This window comes from Homo sapiens, chromosome 9 (genome assembly GCF_000001405.40).
Source record: "Homo sapiens chromosome 9, GRCh38.p14 Primary Assembly".
Classification (NCBI taxonomy): domain Eukaryota; kingdom Metazoa; phylum Chordata; class Mammalia; order Primates; family Hominidae; genus Homo; species Homo sapiens.
In genome coordinates, this window is record NC_000009.12 from 113,293,907 (window position 1) to 113,313,012 (window position 19,106).

General features: G+C 45.8%; 1 protein-coding gene across 15 annotated transcripts, besides 3 other annotated features; it reads right to left on the minus strand.

Moving 5' to 3' along the window:
- On the minus strand, nt 3,187-9,470 carry RNF183 (ring finger protein 183). Of its 15 annotated transcripts, NM_001387568.1 has the most exons (6): nt 9,150-9,470; nt 8,289-8,407; nt 8,076-8,120; nt 7,766-7,949; nt 5,666-5,869; nt 3,187-4,315 (listed from the first exon to the last, which is right to left on the minus strand). In NM_001387568.1, the coding sequence occupies exon 6, from the start codon at nt 4,276-4,278 to the stop codon at nt 3,700-3,702; it is 579 nt and encodes a 192-aa protein (NP_001374497.1). In that variant the 5' UTR covers nt 4,279-4,315; nt 5,666-5,869; nt 7,766-7,949; nt 8,076-8,120; nt 8,289-8,407; nt 9,150-9,470; the 3' UTR covers nt 3,187-3,699. The 15 variants fall into 15 exon arrangements, with proteins under 15 accessions (NP_001374497.1, NP_001358166.1, NP_001374498.1 ...); NM_001371237.1 differs by lacking the exon at nt 8,076-8,120 and having other exon boundaries at nt 7,766-7,845; NM_001387569.1 differs by lacking the exon at nt 8,076-8,120 and having other exon boundaries at nt 5,054-5,869; nt 7,766-7,845.
- Nucleotides 11,741-11,910: an enhancer, noted in NCBI's record as "experimental_106329 CRE fragment used in MPRA reporter constructs". NCBI's record gives its function as "activates a minimal promoter by MPRAs in K562 erythroleukemia cells, with activity observed for the introgressed 9:116068012 variant allele {active_cell/tissue: K562}" and the evidence as "EXISTENCE:reporter gene assay evidence [ECO:0000049][PMID:34662402]".
- Nucleotides 13,676-13,845: an enhancer, noted in NCBI's record as "experimental_106330 CRE fragment used in MPRA reporter constructs". NCBI's record gives its function as "activates a minimal promoter by MPRAs in K562 erythroleukemia cells, with activity observed for both the introgressed and non-introgressed 9:116069947 or rs71503561 variant alleles {active_cell/tissue: K562}" and the evidence as "EXISTENCE:reporter gene assay evidence [ECO:0000049][PMID:34662402]".
- Nucleotide 13,761: a transcriptional cis regulatory region, noted in NCBI's record as "Neanderthal adaptively introgressed variant 9:116069947 (GRCh37/hg19 assembly coordinates) or rs71503561 in the experimental_106330 CRE". NCBI's record gives its function as "modulates activity of the experimental_106330 enhancer by MPRAs in K562 erythroleukemia cells {active_cell/tissue: K562}" and the evidence as "EXISTENCE:reporter gene assay evidence [ECO:0000049][PMID:34662402]".

Below are 19,106 nucleotides of genomic sequence, written 5' to 3' on the forward strand. Positions count from 1 at the left end.
TTTTCTTCTTTGTAGTATGTGTAAAATAATGAAGAACACTGGTGAATTAGCATGCAATTGGATATAATGTGCTAACAAAGATTTTTAGTTTCTCAGGTTTAAATTTTGCTATTAGTTCCCTTCGACTTGTTTTTCTTTGTTTTTTGGTTGGTCCAAGAGGTAGCAGTTGGGTGAAAACATTTCATCCAAGCCTTTGACAGAACAAATACCTTGTGGGCTATTTCTTCACAGGAATTAAAACATCATTGTAAGAAAGTGGTTAAGAAGCACAAAGCCAGGTGTGGCATTTGTGAAAATGGCAAGATAAACAGCCACCGTTTCACAGAACACTTAGTCCCTACCTAGATGGTATACCAGGCACATTCAGATACCTTGTTTAATCCCCACAATCTTTTGAGTTTATTATTCCCTTTTTATGGACAAAACAGGCTCCAAAAACACTTGCTCAAGTTTAGCCAGCTAGCAAGTGATGGAGCTTGAATTTGAACTGTCATCTGACCATTGATGACCTTATGAAGGTTTCACAGGTTCCCCACACTGGCCAGACAAAAGGACCGGTACAGCCAGCATGGCCTGTTTCCTGTACGAAGTCTGAGCTTTTTAAGGACTCTCCACTTTGTATAATGCCCCCCACCCTTTTTTTTTTTTTTTTTTTTAAGAGATGGGATCTCAGCCGGGCGCAGTGGCTCACGCCTGTAATCCCAACACTTTGGTCAGGAGTTTGAGACCAGCCTGGCCAACATGGTGAAACCCCATCTCTACTAAATATACCAGAAATTAGTTGGGCGTAGTGGCAGGCACCTGTAATCCTAGCTACTCGGGAGGCTGAGACAGGAGAATCGCTTGAACCCGGGAGGGGGAGGTTGCACTTAGCCGGGATCGTGCCGTTGCACTCCAGCCTGGGTGACAAGAGTGAAACTCCATCTCAAAAAAAGATGAGATGAACTCCTAGGTTCAAATGATCATCCTGCTTCAGCCTCCTGAGTAACTGAGATACAGGCACGGGCCACCGTGCCCAGCTTGTATACTGCACTTTTGACAAGTCACTTCCATCTCTGAGCTCATGCCCATGTTAAAGTAACTCTCGCACATCCTGAACGGATGAGGAGCCTATTGTCAACAAGATAGCTATTTGCATTTTTGGTTAGATGATCTTTCATCCTGTGGAACTGGCAACATAAGCATTGCAGCAGGTGTTAGTATCCCAGACCTCTGAGCCCTAAATGTCAGCAGTGCAATTCACCCCCTCCACTGACTACAAAAGATGCTCCCATGCATTTCCAGATACATTCGAAGAGGATGGGACTGCCCCAAGCTAGAGCTACCGAATATGAAAACAGGAGACACCATGATGTTCAGGCAGCCCTCCCTCTCCATCAGCGGGTTCTAGGATTCAACCAACCATAGGTCGAAAATACACTACTGACCATATACAGACTTTTTTTCTTGTTATTATCCCCTACACAATACAGTATAGCAACTTCACATCGCATTTATATTGTATTAGGTATTGTAAGTAATCAACAGATGAATTAAAGTATAGAGGAGGATGTGTGTAGGTTATATGCAAACACTACATCATTTTATATCAGGGGCTTGAGCATCCTCGGATTCAGGTATCTTCAGGAGGTCCTGGGACCATTTCCCCCTGAATATCAAGGGATGACTGTATATCCTCACCTATCGGAAAAACCCTCAAACTTACATCTTGTCTTATTTGGGTGGTGTATCAACCACTCCAAGGATCTAAGTTCTTTTTTGACTGAAAAGACTCTACCACCTACTAGCTGGGTGGCCTTGAACAAGGTGGAGCCTCAGTTCCATCTGTAAACTGGGGATTAAGCTTGCTGAGGTTAGTAGGCCTAGTGCAGAGGCCAGTGTTCCTTCCTGGGCTTTTCTCAGTTTCTCCTGTCCTGAGCTGCCCTCGCCTGTCCGCTTAGCTCAGAGGACATGGTGAGATTATTGCCTAACTTATCTGCCACAAGTTTAAGGAGCAACACTGTGTAAAGAAATGAAGTCAATGGGGAAAGGTGGAGTCCCAGCTTTAGTGTAATTATCTTTGATGGCACAAATGGAGAGATAGTTGCTAGTCCCCTAAAGGAATATGTAGGCAGTTTTGCAACTTTGTAATGGAGACTTTTTCTTCATATTGGAGCTTAAACCGTTTGGTTTTTCTAAATGTGAAATATACGTATTGGATATTTTGGAGTATTTTGTACATTAAAACACCTGGGGGGAATCTAACATTATTTGGAGCAAATCAACCAACTCAAATTCTGGCCTCTGAACGCTTTTTCTGCTTATCAAAAAACCCCCAAAACCTCAAAATGTTATCCTTACATATTTGTGATGGTATCTTTTGTGTGTGATGGTATCGTTTTTTTTTTTTTCCTGAGACAGAGTTTCACTCTGCTGCCCAGGCTGGAGTGCAGTGGCGCAGTCTTGGCTCACTGCAACCTCTGTCTCCTGGGTTCAAGCAATTCTTCTGCCTCAGCCTCCTCAGTAGCTGGGATTACAGGCACGCGTCACCACGCCCAGCTAATCTTTGCTGGGGATTACAGGCGTGAGCCACCGCGCCCAGGCTGTGATGGTATCTTAACCACTTTAAAATTGTTTCAGAGCCTTGAGCCACCAGGCAAGGTTAAAACTGGGGAAACAGAAATCAGAGTTTTAGACACTGCAAGGTTGCAACTTACCAAGCAACAGCCTGAGCCCCCAAATTCTGTCTGATTGGTTCCTGGATTCTATCATGTAAAGTGAAAGCTAGGGTTCCCCCGCTGCCTCCCATGGCCTGGGATGGGAGTTAAACTTTTGCCTGTGTCCAGCGTTTCCATCTTCTTGAAGCTGGAATTATGGAGCTTGGGGGAAGGGAATCAGAACTCTACCCCATGTCCATTCTAATCAGGGCCTCTGTATCTGCCGGGAGGAAGAAAGACCTATTCCTCCAAATCCCAGACTTCCCCTAGTCCACTGATCTAACATCGTTCACCTTTAGATTTCACCTAACACTCCATGAACTACATGCTGGCAAGAGGTGGTCTCATAAAAGCAGCAGCTGAATGAGCACACCCCTTCCTGCTAGTGAGGGCCATCTGCCACCCCTGGATAATCCTACTCTTCTCTTCCCTCAGTTCTGGCACTCAGCACCAGCCCAGTAAATGGTCGTGGAATGAATAAGTGAATGAATTAATGAATACAGAACACTTTTACTGCAACCAGTGGCAAGACATTCAAAGAGAAACAAACACACATTTACCCACAGAATTGAAGCTCACTTCCCAATTTTTTTTTTTTTTTTAGCAACCCATAGTAAAAGAGCAACTCAAAAAAATATGCACTGATTTTGAAGCAGCTCCAGTGAGAAATGCAACTTGCTATTTGGGCTAGTCAGGTTCCTGGATACCACTGTGCAGCCCTTTGGCACAACTTGCTGTGGAGCTCTGTGGTCAGAACCGCTTCTCTGCCCTTCCATGACGCCACACTCACACCCGGAGGTCGCTCCACATCTCCCAGTCCTTCAAGCTTTTCGTTTTTTTGTTTTTTTTTAAAATTGTTCCCAGAAGCAAACACATGGCCTGAACAATCCCTGGATTGTAAAATAAACAACACTACAAAGGAAGACAATACCAAATGAGGCTCCGTAGTCACCATACCCAGCAGCAACCGAAAAAGGTTTGGTTTCTTGTCTGGGAACAGCACTCACCCCACACCCCAAAGGAACTGCTTGGTCCAAAAGATGGAGAATATGAGCAACAGAGTGACACTGAGGATGACGGCCATCAGGTAGGCAAAGATGCGGAACTGAGGGTTGCGGAAACACTCCCTCAAAGAGTGGTGGCTGGGGATGAGGATGGGCGTAGACACGGTGGCAGAGGCCGTGTCTGGGGGCGGCCCAGTCTGGCCCCCAGGCTGGGGGCCAAGGTCCAGCGTGTAGACTTGAGGCTGGCGCAGGAAGTAGCGGCTCTTGGGCTGGTCCTTGAGGCACAGCTGATGGCCTTCCAGGATGACATGGTGGGGCTCCAGGCGGAGCAGGGCGAGCATGGCAGTGTCCGTGGGCAAGTCAGTGACAGGCTGCCCTGAGGCCAGCACTGTGGGCTGGCGACAGAGTGGGCACAGCAGGCGGCGCCGGGCTGGAGTCACAAGGCTGAGGTGGGCCAGACATTCCACGCAGAAGGAGTGGCAGCAATCCAGCATTTTGGGGGTATGGAACGTGTTGTTGAAGGGGTTCCAGCAGACGGGGCACTCAGCCTCAAGCTCCCGGCCCTGCTGCTCAGCCATCCTCAGCCACACACGGGGAGGCTTCGCGGGAGACGTCCTGGCAGAAGGGGGAAAGGAGCAAAGGAACAGCCATGAAGTCCCATCCTTGTGCTTGGCCTGGGGCAAAGTGTTCTGTGGGTGTTGAAAGGTGTAATCACCACGTTTTACTTAGGTTCAAAAGCGTTTTGTTCTTGATCACCAGTTCCTAACCCATCGAGTTGAGTCAAATGCTCCTACAGCCTCCCCTCTGTCAAGGTGAAGGCCTGGGCCACCCCTACCAAGAGCCCCCAAGAGAGCCGGCATTGGAGCAGATGTCGCCCTGGGCTTTGGAGCTGGACGCAAATGCTCCTTATGGTCATTGTCTGTGCCCTTGGCTGCCCTGAATCCAGGGAGCTGGGGGTAAGCTGCAGTCTGCGGGTTTTGCTACAGGACAAATGTTTCCTTCCCTGCTACCTCAAATCCCTGACTAGCGCAGAGATGGGTTTTGTGAATTCCCTGGTCTGTCCCTCCTATGGGGACAAATGCCAGCCCTCTTTCCCTCCTCCCCTTGAGCTAGAGGGCCAACCCTCCACATCCTACTCACCCAGTCCTTGGCCTGGCAAGGAAGCCCCTGGAAAGGCCTTTCTCCTTACCTGGAAGCCTTGCAGAAGCTTCCCTGCCCCAGTCCCCAGATCAGCCCTTCCAGAGCCTCTTCCCCTTCCAGAGCCTCTTCCCCTTCCAGAGCCTCTTCCCCATCCTCTGCCTACCCTGGCTCCTCCTCCCTCCCTTTGTCCTGGGAAACCTTCAGGGCACGCACCTGGGCTTCTGTGGGCTCCAGGGTGGTCAGGCAGACTACTCTGGAGGGCCTGAGGCTCCAGTTGCTCCCTCCCCTGAATCGGCAAAGCTTTGGGAGACTGCCTTCTTGCCACCAACCCAGGGGCCTGTCTCCATGGCAGCATGCACGCAGCACCTGGGGCTGCCAGGTGGCCCAGTCGGCAGCCTCTTGAGCACACCTGCTTGGAGCCAAGGCCAGAGAGCTTCCTGGGGGGTGGGGTGGGGAGGAAGATGGGGGACCTGAGTTCCCCCCAGGGCATGGCAACTAATTGAACCTGGAAGCCAAGCACCTGTGAGATTGTGGGCAGTCCCTTCAACACCTGGAGTCCCTGGTCTGGAAAGGTAGGGTGGCAATTTCGTCTTTGTAGATGTGAAGAGGGTAACTGAGTCTTCTGGGCTTCCTCTCTCTGGGGCCCTCATTTCTCTTCGAAAGTGGCTGGAACCTCCTCCTTGCACAAAGGGGCTGCCTGCTCAGCACTTTGGTTGCTGTGAAAGTCACCTACTTCGAAGCTTAAGAGCTCCGACTATCAGATTCAGTCCAGTCACCCGCTGATCTTTTAATGTGCCTAAGTAACTGCAATCAGCGTGTACAAACCTCGCTGCCTTCTGCTTTGTTCTTAGCACACAGCTGGTCAGCCTTCTGAGATCTTAGAGCTGGCCATCCCACCAACCTTAGGGAGTTAAAGCGGGGAGTTGGAGGGAGGCGCACTCCAGCCCAGCTTCTCCGTTTCAACCAGAAATACTTGGCTTTTCTCTGTTTCTCATATGGGTCATTCGAATAATTTGAAGAGTTGATCTGCTGGGGAAAAGAAAAAGTTTAAAAACCAATTCTCCATCTGAACTACTCACTTTGCAGATGAGAGACAAGAAGTGACTCACCCAAAGTCACCCAGCTAGTTAATGGTGACATGGGACCCATGTCTTCAGACTCATGGTTTTCGTAAAGACAGAAGGCTGCATCCATGCCGTCCCCCTACTCAGTGCGTGTTACTAGCTAGATAATAAGTGTTTGCATGTGATCAGGAATCCTTCACGGCCAGAAGACTCATGGTAGAAATCCAGGAACTGTGGAAGAGGGGATCTGGGGGAAGGGAGTCTCCCTAGAGCCCCTGATATGACATCATCTACCCCGACTGAGCCGATGTCTGAAGCAAAACCTGCTTATACTCTCGGACCTGTGGCTTCCTGGTTTTCTTCTAGACCTCTGGCACTGCTCCAAACAGGGAAGGAGGAAATGAAGATATGCAGAGGGAGATGGAGCCCTAAGCGAAACTAGGGTAGTTTAGCAGGGCTCTGCACCAGTGCTTTATTCTGCAGTCCATTCATCCACTCGGACATTATTGAGTGCTTACTCTAGCCCAGGTGCTGTGCAAGGTATTATGGTGAACAAAATAGACATTGTCTTTGACCTCATGACATTTAGAGTGTAGTGAGGCAAAAAGACATTTAATGAATAATGGGCAATAAATAAATACACAATTTTAATGGTTGTTAATAAAGGGCAAAAAGGAAAATGGGCTTCGGGTGCTTGGTGGCTGCTCCCAATGAGACCACCAGAGAAGGTTTCTGCAAAGAGATGACAGAAGAGCTGAGACCAAAGTATATAGGAATCCAGCCACGCACAGTGGAGGAAGAGCGTTGCAGGCCCAGGGAACAGCATGTGTGGCCCCGAGGTGAGAAAAGCTCTTCCAATTTGAGAAAGTGAAAGGAGCCCAGGGTGATCAAGGTGTGGTGACCGGAGTAGGCAAGGTGGGAGGGTATAGTACTCGGGACCTGTGAACTCAGGAGCTCATCTGGATTTTATTCCAGGGGTGAGCGGTAGGGTAAGGTACCTGATCCTATTTCCATTTTTAAAACACCATTCTAGCTGCAGAGCAGAGGACAGGCTGAGAGGGATAAGATCGGGAAGGGAACACCCGTTCGGGCTGCAGCAGTGTGGCTCAGGCGTGTGATGGTGGTGCAGGTTAGGCAGTGGCAGAGGAGATAAAAGGGGATGGGATAAGTGATATCTTTGGGGACAGAATCAAAGCCACTTCCCAAGAAGCAGTGGAGTTCTAGGGATCCAGTTGTAGTTTCTGTCAAGGTTCATGATGCCAGATCCATGGCTATTTAGGGCTGTGATTCCAGTTGAATTGCTTGACCTCTCTGTGCCTCTATTTCTCCTTGTGCAAAGGAAGCCAAAACTAGTAAAGCTTTTAGTTAGAGCCCAGCACCCAGTAAAGACCACAAAGCAATGCATGACCTAAAAATGGGACTATGTTCTCAGAAACACATCGTTGTATGAACAGCACAGAGAGTATTTACACAAACCTAGATGGTAGAGCCTGCTACATGCCTAGGCTATACGGTCTAGCCTGTTGCTCCTAGGCTACAAACCCATACAGCTTATTATGTTCTGAACACTGTAGGCAATTGTAACACAATGATAATTGCGTGTGTCTTTCAACATAAACTTAGAAAAGGCAAGGTAAATATATGGTATTATAATCTTAGGTGGCCACCATCACATATGTAATTCACTGTTGATCAAAACATTGTTATGGATATATGAGGCAGTTGAAATTATTAATGCAAATGGATTTGAGAGAAAGGAAGGGTCAAGGTTGATTTCAAAGCCGTGACAAAGTCCTCTGCATCAAGCTTTGAGAAGCCCCTGAATCCCAGAGTGTGTTAGAAGCAGATCTTTAATACTTACCAGAGGCCGTAAACTGTATGTAACCTTGACTCATCATTTCCCCCACTGGGAATCGATTCCACGGAAACCATCAAGGACTTCTGCAAAGATGTGAGTAAAGAGATGCCCATCCAGGCGCTGGTTTAACGGTGACGTATGGAGAACTACGTCATCATCCAGTAATAGGACATTGATTAAGTAGATTCTGCTCCATCCATAGGAAGAGATATTATGCAGCCTTTAATATGATGTGGTAAAACTATTAATATGGATATATACCTAGGATATAATGTCATTAAGCGAAAAAGAACCAGCAACAAAACCATATTACCATATAATCCAATTTCCAAAAGTGTGTGTGCAATGGAAAAAATGTCTGGAGAGATAAACAACCAGATATTAGCAGTGGTTATCTCTGGGGGCAAGATTATAAGTTTTTTTTTTTTTTTTAATTCTCTTACCTGAAAATTCTAACTTTACTCCATCCAGTAAGCTTGTATTACTACACGTCAAGATCTCCTGTTTCCCCCCAAATCAGACCTACCTTCTCTGAAGTTCCATGGCCAGAACTGTAAAAGGCTGTCCAAGAGGAGGAAGCATCATTATTGCCTGGATCTTTATCTGTGCTGCTCTCCCAGGGATCCACTGCTGTTTCAGGATCAGCTGGGGAGAGATTCTGGCCATGTATCACCTCCACCCCAAGCCAGGACATCTCAGCTACAGTAAATCCTAAACACCGCCCCAAAGTCATCTCCTTGGTCTATGAACAAGTCATCGCCAAATATCAATTGTCCCCAGCATCACTCCATTGTTTTCAACCAAGAACTGGCATTTCCATAGCACTTCACAGTTTACAAAGGGCCCTGGCCCTTGCTAAGATCTAAGTGTGGTGATCCATCTAGATAGGTTACTAGCCTTTTGGGATTTTTTGTTGTTGTTTGCAGAAAGCCATTTGATACTCTAAAACCACCCTGTGAGAGAGGCTGAATGGGGAGTAGAAAGGTGCCGGCTTTGGAACCAGATTTGGAACAATTTGTCTTGGACAAATGGCTTAACCTCTCTGAACTTCATTTTCCTCTGTAAAAAAGGCTAATCATCCCACTCCTACAAGGTTGCTCTGGGGAAGGAATAGTCTATACGGTGCCCAGTAGAATACGGAAGGCGCTCAATACAGAGTTAGCATGATTATTTTTAGACCCATTTTCTAGATGGGGAAGCCAAGGCTCAGAAGGGTGAGGCAACTTGCCGAAGTCTTCCCAGCTAAAGAGTGGCTGAGTTTGAAAGATGAACCCAGTAGCCTGCCCTCCCAGGCCAGAGTTCACCTGTCGCGCGCTGCACGGCTGCTGCCTCTCTGGACTCTGGAGCCCTGTGACCCGTCCCTCCGCGACCCTCTCTGTCTCCTTACCTGCTCCCTCGGAGCCGCCTCCTCCGCCTCCGTTCGTGCAGCCCTGCACGCATGTGCTTTGTTTTCTGACTTCCCAGGCCCGATTTCCAGGTAGCGTGGGTGGGTCTTATTTGCATAGGTCTTAGCAGCGTTTGGCCAGCTCTCGCTGTTTCAGGTTTTCTTCTTCCTTCTGGTGACTTTGGACCTCCTGTACACCCTGGAAGCTTTGGTTGCTTTGTCTTTCTCCTGTGAGTCACTCTGGCTTTTTCTCTGAGGGGATCAAGTGCGCTCATCCTTGCAGGCCTCTGTTCTGGGTCCGATTGATCTCCTGCCATCCCCTCGGATTCCACTGTCCTCTGTGCGCTGACCTGCCTCGACTCCTGGCTTCTGCCGAGATGGATCCTTCCCTATGCTGAGTCCCTGTAACCAAAATACAGATAGCTCTTGCAAAATACTGACAAAAGCGGCCACTAATACAGCAGAAAAATAGTCGGGAGACGGTTGAGCGTCTGCCTGAAGAGCCAGGGTTCTCAAGCAAGGCACACTTCTAGGTCAGAGTTCAGCCCTCACTGAGAATCCAAACTCCGTTTAACTACCGATGGAGACTTGAGCAAATTAATTAACTTCTGCCAGCCTCAGTTTCCTCACCTGAAAATGGCCATAATAACCTACCTACTTGATCTGTAGATTAAATGAGGTAATACGTGTCGAGATCGCGTAATAACACAGGGCCTGGCAGACAGTAACTCGCTAAATGTTAACCAGAACTATTATTGTTATAACCGGTCTGTTCACGTGGCCCATCTTTTGTTCCCGCTCAAATTCTTTTTGTACCTATGGTCCTCTTTTCTTTCTCTCTCTCTTTCTTTCTTTTTTTTTTTCTTTCTTTTTTTTTTTTTTTTTTAAGACGTAGTTTTGCTCTGTCGCCCAGGCTAGAGTGCAGTGGGGCGATACTGGCTCACTGTAACCCCCACCTCCCTGGTTCCAGCAATTCTCCTGCCACGGCCTCCCGAGTAACTGGGACTACAGGTGCGCGCTACCATGCCCGGCTAATTTTTACATTCTTAGTAGAGACAGGATTTCGCCTTGTTGGCCAGGCTGGTCTCAAACTCCTGACCTCAGGTGATCCACCTGCCTCGACCTCCCAAAGTGCTGAGATTACAGGCATGAGCCACCGCGCCTGGCCCCTTATTTCTTTACTGACATTTTCAGCCATACTTGAGAAATAAACAAGTAAATAAATGTATCTGCTTGGTGATGTAATCAAATGCCCTAGTCCCCGCATTTTGTGTTTTTTTACATTAATTTTTATGTATTGATTTATTTTGAGACAGAGTCTCACTCTATCATCCAGGCTGGGGTGCGGTGGCACGATCACAGCTCACTGCAGCCTCAACCTCCTGGGGTCAAGCAGTCTTCCCACCTCCGCCTCCTGAGTACCTAGGACTACAGGTGCATGCCACCGTGGCTGGCTAATTTTTGTATTTCTTGTAGAGATGGGGTTTCTCCAGGTTGCCTAGGCTGGTCTCAAACTCCTGGGCTCCAGCAATCCACTTGCCAAAAGTGCTAAGATTACACTTGAGCCACCGTGCCCACATTTGATTTTTAAATAGGTAATATATTTACATGGTTGAGCATGTGAATGGTTTGATTTCACAGTGAAAACTGTCTCTTCGCAGCCACCTAGTTTCCCTGGAAATCAAAGTATTATACTATCAGTTTGTTGTGTATCTTTCCAAAGATGTTTTATACATACACAAACAGCATGTCCATGGCAAAACATCTATGTATTCCTTTACCTCCTTTTTACACAAATGTGCATATTATGTACACTGTTCTGCATTTTTCTTTTTTCATTTGATGATGTATTTGAGATATCATTCTGTATTAGTACATAAAGACCTTCTTCGGTTTTTGGCCCAGCGCTGTGACTCACACCTGTAATCCCAGCACTTTGGGAGGCCAAGGCGGGTGGATCACTTGAGGTCAGGAGTTCAAGACCAGCCTGGCCAACATGGTGAAACCCCGTCTCTACTAAAAATACAAAAATTAGCCGGCGTCATGGTGCACACCTGTAGTCCCAGCTACTCAGGAGGCTGAGGCAGGAGAATCGCTTGAACCTGGGAGGCAGAGGTTGCAGTGAGCTGAGATTGTACCACTGCACTCCAGCCTGGGCGACAGAGCAAAAAAAAAAAAAGAAGACCTTCTTCGGTTTTTTAATGGTTGTATCAGATTTCATTGAATGGCTGTACCATAAATCACTTCACCAATCCCCTATTGATCTAACCCCCTCATTATAAATATATAAATATTGAATGAAAGAATAATGCAAAAATGCTGATTTTAAGTTAGCCTAGAATTGTGTGAAAATAAAACTGTGGACTTTGGGAAGTTTTAGATCTCTAAAGAAAATGTCTAAGTAATTCTCCTCTTTCTGAGCTGGAGACGAGGTATATGATCACCGATGGCCTCAAAGTTCCTCTCAGCTCTGGAATTCCCTGCTTTTCGGTGTCACTACTGGTTAACTGAGGTTACTGGGGATTCGAGACACTGATTTAGTCCAAAGAACCTGGTTTGTATTTGAGAGTTTGGAAGTCACGCTTTCTGGCTTGGCAACATAAGAAAACATAAAGAAGTTCATCTACTTTGACCTAATCATGTAATTCCCCAGAAGCATCAAAAAGATATATTTTGGTTGAGTGAGGATATTCATTGCAGTTTTATTTTAATCACAAATGATTGAAAACACTCCAAAACCCCATCAATTAGGTGAAAAACTACATAATCATTTAAAATGATATAGAAAGATTTTCATTGACTTTTAAAAATGGTCACAGTATACTGTAAATGGAGGGGGAAAGCAGCTTAAAAATGGTGCATGTTGGCCGGATACGGTGGCTTACGCCTGTAATCCCAGCACTTTGGGAGGCCGAGGCAGGCGGATCACAAGGTCAGGAGTTTGAGACCAGCCTGGCCAATATGTTGAAACCCCGTCTCTACTAAAAAATACAAAAAAAAAAAAAACTTAGCTGGGCGTGGTGGCAGGTGCCTGTAATCCCAGCTACTTGGGAGGCTAAGGAGGCAGGAGAATCGCTTGAACCTGGGAGGCGGAGGTTGCAGTGAGCCGAGATTGCACCACTGCATTCCAGCCCAGGCAACAGAGAGAGAATCCATCTCAAAAAAAACACAAACAAACAAACCAAAACCAAAACAAAACAAAACAAAAAAACGGTGCATGTTGGCTGGGCACATGCCTATAATCCCAGCACTTTGGGAGGCCGAGGTTGGAGGATTGCTTGAGCCCAGGAGTTCAAGACTAGCGACCCCATTGCTACAAAAAATAAAAAAATAAAAAATTAGCTGGGCGTGGTGGCACATGCCTGTTGTCTCAGATACTCAGAAGGCTGAAGTGGGAGGATCACTTGAGCCCAGAAAGTCAAGGCTGCAGTGAGCCCAGATTGCACCACTGCACTCTAGCCTGGGCAACAGAGCAAAGACCCTGTGAAAGATAGAAAAGAAAAAAAGAAAGAAAAGAAGAAAAGAGAGGGAGAAGGAAGGAAGGAAAGAAGAAGGAAGGAAGGGAGGGAGGGAGGAAGAAAGGAAGGGAGGGAAGGAGGAAGGAAGGAAGGGAGGGAGGGAGGGAGGGGAAGGAAAAGAAAAGAAAAGGAAAGAAAGAGAGAATGTAGCATAAGCCAGATTTTGTAAAGCATAATTTATGTATAAAGACTGCAAGACCATGAGGCAAAATGTCACAATTTTATCTCTGGGTGATGGCCACTCATGTTTTCGCTTTCTTCTTGCTTACATTTTCCAAGTTCTCAAATATGTATTACTTTTGTAGTAAGAAAGTTCACTTAGAAAGTAAGTTAAGTCTGAGTTTTCTGCAACCAGGGTATCCAGAACTTAAAAAGATAAGCAGGTAGGGCAGGTAAGAAGTCAGTCATGACATTGTAAGCATTGAAATAAAAATAAAATAAGTCATAGCCAGGCATGGCCTGTAATCCCAGCACTTTGGGAGGCCGAGGCAGGCAGATCACTTGAGGTCAGGAGTTCGAGGCCAGCCTGGCCAACATGGTGAAACCCCGTCTCTACTAAAAATACAGAAATTAGCCAGGCATGGTGGTGGGTGCCTGTAATCCCAGCTACTCTGCAGGCTGAGGCAGGAGAATCACTTGAACCTAGGAGGCGGAGGTTGCAGTGGGCCGAGATCGCGCCATTGCACTCCAGCCTGGGCGACAAGAGCGAAACTCTGTCTCAGAAAAATAAAATAAAATTTAAAAAGTCATGGCTTTTTTCCAGGTCACTAATTGTCTAGTGAGTCTATGCATTATCATAATGTCTGTGGGTGGTCAGGCTAAGGAGTGCTTTGCCAACAGTGAAAAATTTTTCCAGGGAGATACCCGGGAGAGATAGTGAGGCATCTCAGGAACTTGAGAGTTAAACTAATTTATAAAGTTCATGCTTGTGGGGGCAAGATCAGCCATCTGGAAAAGCACCTCACCTAAGCAGTACCTTAGACCCGGGTGAGTGAAGAGTCATGAGACTCGGTGGAGCCCAGCCAATGTCTGGAGCAGAGGCGTGGGGTGGTTTTAACTCATCTGGGAAGGAAGAGGTGGCAGAGGGCAGAAGGATGGAGAAAAGGTGATGAGTGCAGCAGGTTTAGAATCCGGCATGGTCAGTGTTTAGCAGGCCCCAGTCAAGGGCAGAGGGCAACTCTCCCTAGGGGGCCACCATGTCATCATCACTCAGAGCCTTGCCTGAGGCTTGTCTAGCATTTAGGACAGTTCCGGCAGCATAGGCATCACTTAGAGATTGTTAGAAATGCAAAATCTGGCCGGGCATGGTGGCTAACACCTGTAATCCTGGCTCTTTGGGAAGCTGAGGCAGGCAGATCCCTTGGGGTCAGGAGTTCGAGACTAGCCTGGGCAACATGGTGAAACCCCATCTGTACTAAAAATACAAAAATCAGCTGGGTGTGGTAATGGACACCTGTAATCCCAGCTACTCGGGAGGCTGAAGCAGGAGAATCGCTTGAACCTGGGAGGTGGAGATTGCAGTGAGCCAAAATTGTGCCATTGCACTCCAGCCTGGGCAACAGAGCGAGACTACGTCTCAAAAAAAAAAAAAAAAAAAAAAAAAGAAAGAAAGAAAGAAAGAAAGAAAGAAAGAAAGAAAAACAGAAATGCAAAATCTCAGACCCACTCCAGACCTACGGAGGCAGAATTTGCATTTTTACGAGATCCCTGGGAGATTCAGAGACACATTCATTACAAGTGAAGAGTACTGATTTAGGAGACATACCTCCAGTATATACTCCTTGATGCCTTCTGATTATATTCAGCTTCAGATTCATAAAGGCTCCCAAGGACCTGACACCTTAGGCAGGGCAACGTGAATCCCAGCCTGGGGATGGGCACCCCCGGCCTCTGCTGTGTGCAGCATCTGAATTTGCTTTCCAAGTCACAATCCCTTATTCAAAACATTTGGTTCCAAGTGTGTTTCAGAATTCAGAATTTTTCATAATTTTAGGAAGGTAAGATGATGCATTTGCCAACTCTCCCAATTCTCCCAGTGGGATCTGGGGCAGTACCCTATATTCAAACATTGATATCTTGCAGCTTATTATGAATATTGACACCGAAAAGAATAAACATCACAAGATCAGGTAAGTTTTGGCACCAAATTTAATGGAAAACCTTAGTTTTCAGGCTGGGTGCGGTGGCTCACACCTGTAATCCCAGCACTTTGGGAGGCTGAGGCGGGTGGATAACAGGGTCGGGAGTGCGAAACCAGCCTGGCCAATATGATGAAACCCTGTCTCTACTAAAAATACAAAAATTAGCCAGGCGTGGTGGCACGTGCCTGTAATCCCAGCTACTCAGGGGTCTAAGGCAGGAGAATTGCTTGAATCTGGGAGGTGGAGGTTGCCGTGAGCCGAGATCGTGCTACTGCACTCCAGCCTGGGCAACAGGGCGAGGCTCTGTTGCAAAAAAAAAAAAAAAAAGACAGCAAATAAACTCACCTAAAACTTTAGACACAGAGATAATTGCCCACACATTTGGATTATAGCTTTTGTCTCTCTTTACATTTTAAATATATATTTTATATATTTTAAAATAATATATATACTTTATATAATTTCATATAAAATGTCACACTGTATGTAGTTTTCTAGCCTCTGTTTTTCACTTTTCATCTTTTTATATAATCAAAGAGTCTTCTACAGCCTTTTCTTCAAAATCAAGGTAGTTTTATTGTATTTTGGTTGTAAAAGTGATAATAGGAAAAAACAAACATATATTTGCTTATATGTGCATAAAGTCTCTAAAAGGATACACTAGTTGCTGGTCACACTGTTTACCTCTGGAGGGAGCCAGATGGAAGGCAGACAGGGACGAGAGAAGAATTTTTATTGTATAATCTTTTAGACTCTTGATTATTACTTTGTGAATGTATTCTCTATTTCAAAAATAAAATTAAAAAAACTGGTACATCCTCACTGCAAAAGAAATCAAGCAATATAGAAAGGAACAAAGAAGAAAATAAATTCATCTTTAAACTCAATACCCAGATACAACACTGTTAGTATTTTTGCCACATTTCTTCCAAGTCTTTATCTATGAATGTACAGACATGTGTATGGAGATATTTTTACCAAAATAGGATGATGCTGTACGATGGTTTTTGTTACCTGTGTTTTTCATGTAGGGTGAATCACAGACAGCTTCCATGCAGCCTCATTTTAAACATCTGCATTGTTATTGCATGAAGTTAGCCAGTTACCAAAAAATTAATCCAGGTGAACTGAGTCCAGCATCTGAATACGCAGTGCCAGGTAACACCAACCCCCTGATCCAAAGCTGGGATTTTCTTTTCTTTTCTTTTCTTTTTGTTTTTTTTTTGTTTGTTTGTTTTTTGAGACAGAGTCTTGCTCTGTGGCCCGGGCTGGAGTGCAGTGGTGCGATCTCAGCTCACTGCAACCTCTGCCTCCCAGGTTCAAGCAATTCTCCTGCCTCAGCCTCCTGAGTAGCTGGGATTACAAGCATGCACCACCATGCCTGGCTAATTTTTGTATTTTTAGTAGAGACGGGGCCTCACCATGTTGGCCAGGCTGGTCTCGAATTCCTGACCTCAAGTGATCCTCCCACCTTGGCCTCCCAAAGTGCTGGGATTACAGGCGTGAGCCACCGTGCCCGGCCCAAAGCTGGGATTTTCAATTTGCTGTCTGTAGGATCTTGAATAGGCAGGATGTTATGTTCCAGAACCTGGAGAGATAACATATGGGAACGGGCTGGATGTTCCTTCTGTCCATGGTGTTTAAACCCATGTCGCTTATTCCATAGGTACAAACACCTCTACCTGCCCCCTTCCCCTCAGCCTTTATGCCCACTACCACCAGGATGATGCCAGAGAGGGCCTTGGTGGCCAGAGCCAGTCTGCATGTCAAAGACCCGAGCTCCCATTTGGGCTCCACCACACACTGAGTGATCCTGGGAAAGTCACTTTTTCTTCTCTGTAGAACAGAGATAATAATCTCCATGATGCCTTTCTCAGAGTGTTGTTTTGTTAGAAGAATCAGATAAGGTTATGACTGTGAAAGTAGTATGTAAAATACAGGGCACTCTACACATAGAAGTTTTTATTGTTAAAGTCTGGCCTCTTCCCTGGAGCTGTCAGGGAGAAGGTAGATGCCAAAACCAGCTGGCCCAGCTTCCTTCCGTGATTGGCTCATGGAGCAAACATTCCCCTTGTGCACTTTTCAACATCTACACACTCATCTTTAAAATGGAGTGTTGTAAAGGTCAAGGGCACAAAGCGTTGACAAGGGCGTGGAACAACTGAAACTCTACTAATGCTTCTGCACAGCTGCTGGGAAGTAAATTGGTACAACCTCTTTGGAAAATTGACAGTATATACTAAAACTGATCATGTGAATTCCCCTATGTACGGCCCAGCAAGTCCTCTGCTATTTATGTAATAAACACAGGTATTGTGGATGTTCACCAGAAGACATGTTATTAAGATGTTCATAGCAGAACTATTTGTAAGGGTCCCAAACTAGAAACTACCCCCAAATGTCCATCAGTAATTAAATGGATAAATTACAATATTTTCATACAATGGAATAGGATACAGCAATGAGAGCGAATGGTATTCAACTACATGCAGCAATATGGAACAATCTTACAAACGTGTTGAGCAACAGAAGCCTGACCAAAATAAGAGTACATACTTGTTTCACTAATCTATACTTGTTTCGCTGCATAACAAGTATAGATCCCAAAACTTAATGTCTTAAAACAACAGATAGATTACTTCTCATGAGAAGATGGGATAGCTGTGCAATTTCTCTTCTGATTTCACCTTAGTTGAGTCATAAGGCTGCACTCAGATGCAGATTTGGCTGGGTGGGAAGGTCTGAGGTACCCTCACGTGACCTCATTCTGGTGATGCTCAGTTCTTTCCCAGGTGGCCTAGACCACCTTCCTTACACGGCAGTCTGGGGGCAGCATTTCAAGAGAGTGAAAGTAGAAGCTGCAAAGTTTTAAAACTAAGGGTTGTAACTATCAAGAGTTGCAAGGGCCCAGCCTCAGGAGCTTCATCGTGTCCATTTCTCTGCATTCTATTGGTCACCCCATAAGTCAAAAGGCCAGCCTAGATTCAAGGGTGTGAAAATAGACCCTACCTCTCCCTGAGTAGAAGTCACATTGCAAAGGGTCATGCATACAGGAATGGAAGAAATCTGTGGTCCATCTACCACAATACCCTGTGATTCCATTTATAGAAAGTAGAAAAGCAGGTAAAATCCACTGAAGCTGTTATAAATTCTTTGACGAATGGGCCTGGAGAGGAGTATGAGAGACCATCTGGGTTCCTGATGTGTTCTGCTTCTTCATCTAGGTACTGATGACTAGAATGTCCAGTTTATGAAATTCAGCAAGCTATTAACTTAAGACATCTGAAACTTTTTACGTGATTACTATACTTGAATTGAAAGTCTAAGTTACATAGTGGTTTTAAAAGAATGCAGTTCATTTCCCTTTCCAGTTACAGTTCCATCCATCAGGCTGGTGGAGCTGCTCATCTCCTCAATGTTCCTCAGGACCCCCGCTTCCTTCTTTCTTGCCATGCCATCATCTTGTCCTCATCGAGAGTTGAAGCTGTTGCTGGCAGTCTGCATTCCAGCTAGTGGAGAGGATGCAGAGGGGTAGCCCTGGACAAGCACATTCCTTGCAAGCTAATAAGGTGGAAGTTACACACATTACTTCCACTCACAATCCACTGGCAAGCACTGATTCTCATGGCCTGCCTAGCTGGGAATGTAGTCTTAGCTGGGCAGCCTGTGCCAAGGATATGTGCCAATTTCAGGGAAACAACTAGCAGTCTACTGCATTTTTTTTTTAATGGAGTCTTGCTCTGTCGCCCAGGCTGGAGTGCAGTGGTGCGATCATGGCTCACTGCAGCCTCTGTCTCCTAGGTTCAAGGGATTCTCCTGCCTCAGCTTCCCCAGTAGCTGGGATCACAGGCATGTACCACCACATCTGGCTAATTTTTGTACTTTTAGCAGAGATAGGAATTCACCATGTTGGTCTGGCTGGTCTCAAACTCCTGGCCTCAAGTGATCTGCCCGCTTCGGCCTCCCAAAATGCTGGAATTACAGGCATGAGCCACCGCACCTGCCACAGTCTACTACATTACTAATAATAAAGCTGCTCTTTAATAATTATGTTTTCAGAAGGCCATTTGGAAATAGTTTTTATCTCACTGTTGGATTATAAAAACACCAAGTGACCCGAGTTCTACACTTTTCTGTGCCAAAATGAAGAACATTAATAATAAGTATCCATTTCCCCTCAAGTATATATATTTAAATCATAAATATGTAAGTAAATGTATACATTTATTTAAATTTTAAATATGCAATTGGCCAGGTTCCAAGGGCTTATCCACCTTCCTGGAAAAAAATTGTCTTTGGAA

Bases quoted from the DNA above. Each gene is read 5' to 3' on its own strand.
- RNF183 (XM_047422765.1), bottom strand. From the start codon at position 4,278: ATGGCTGAGCAGCAGGGCCGGGAGCTTGAGGCTGAGTGCCCCGTCTGC.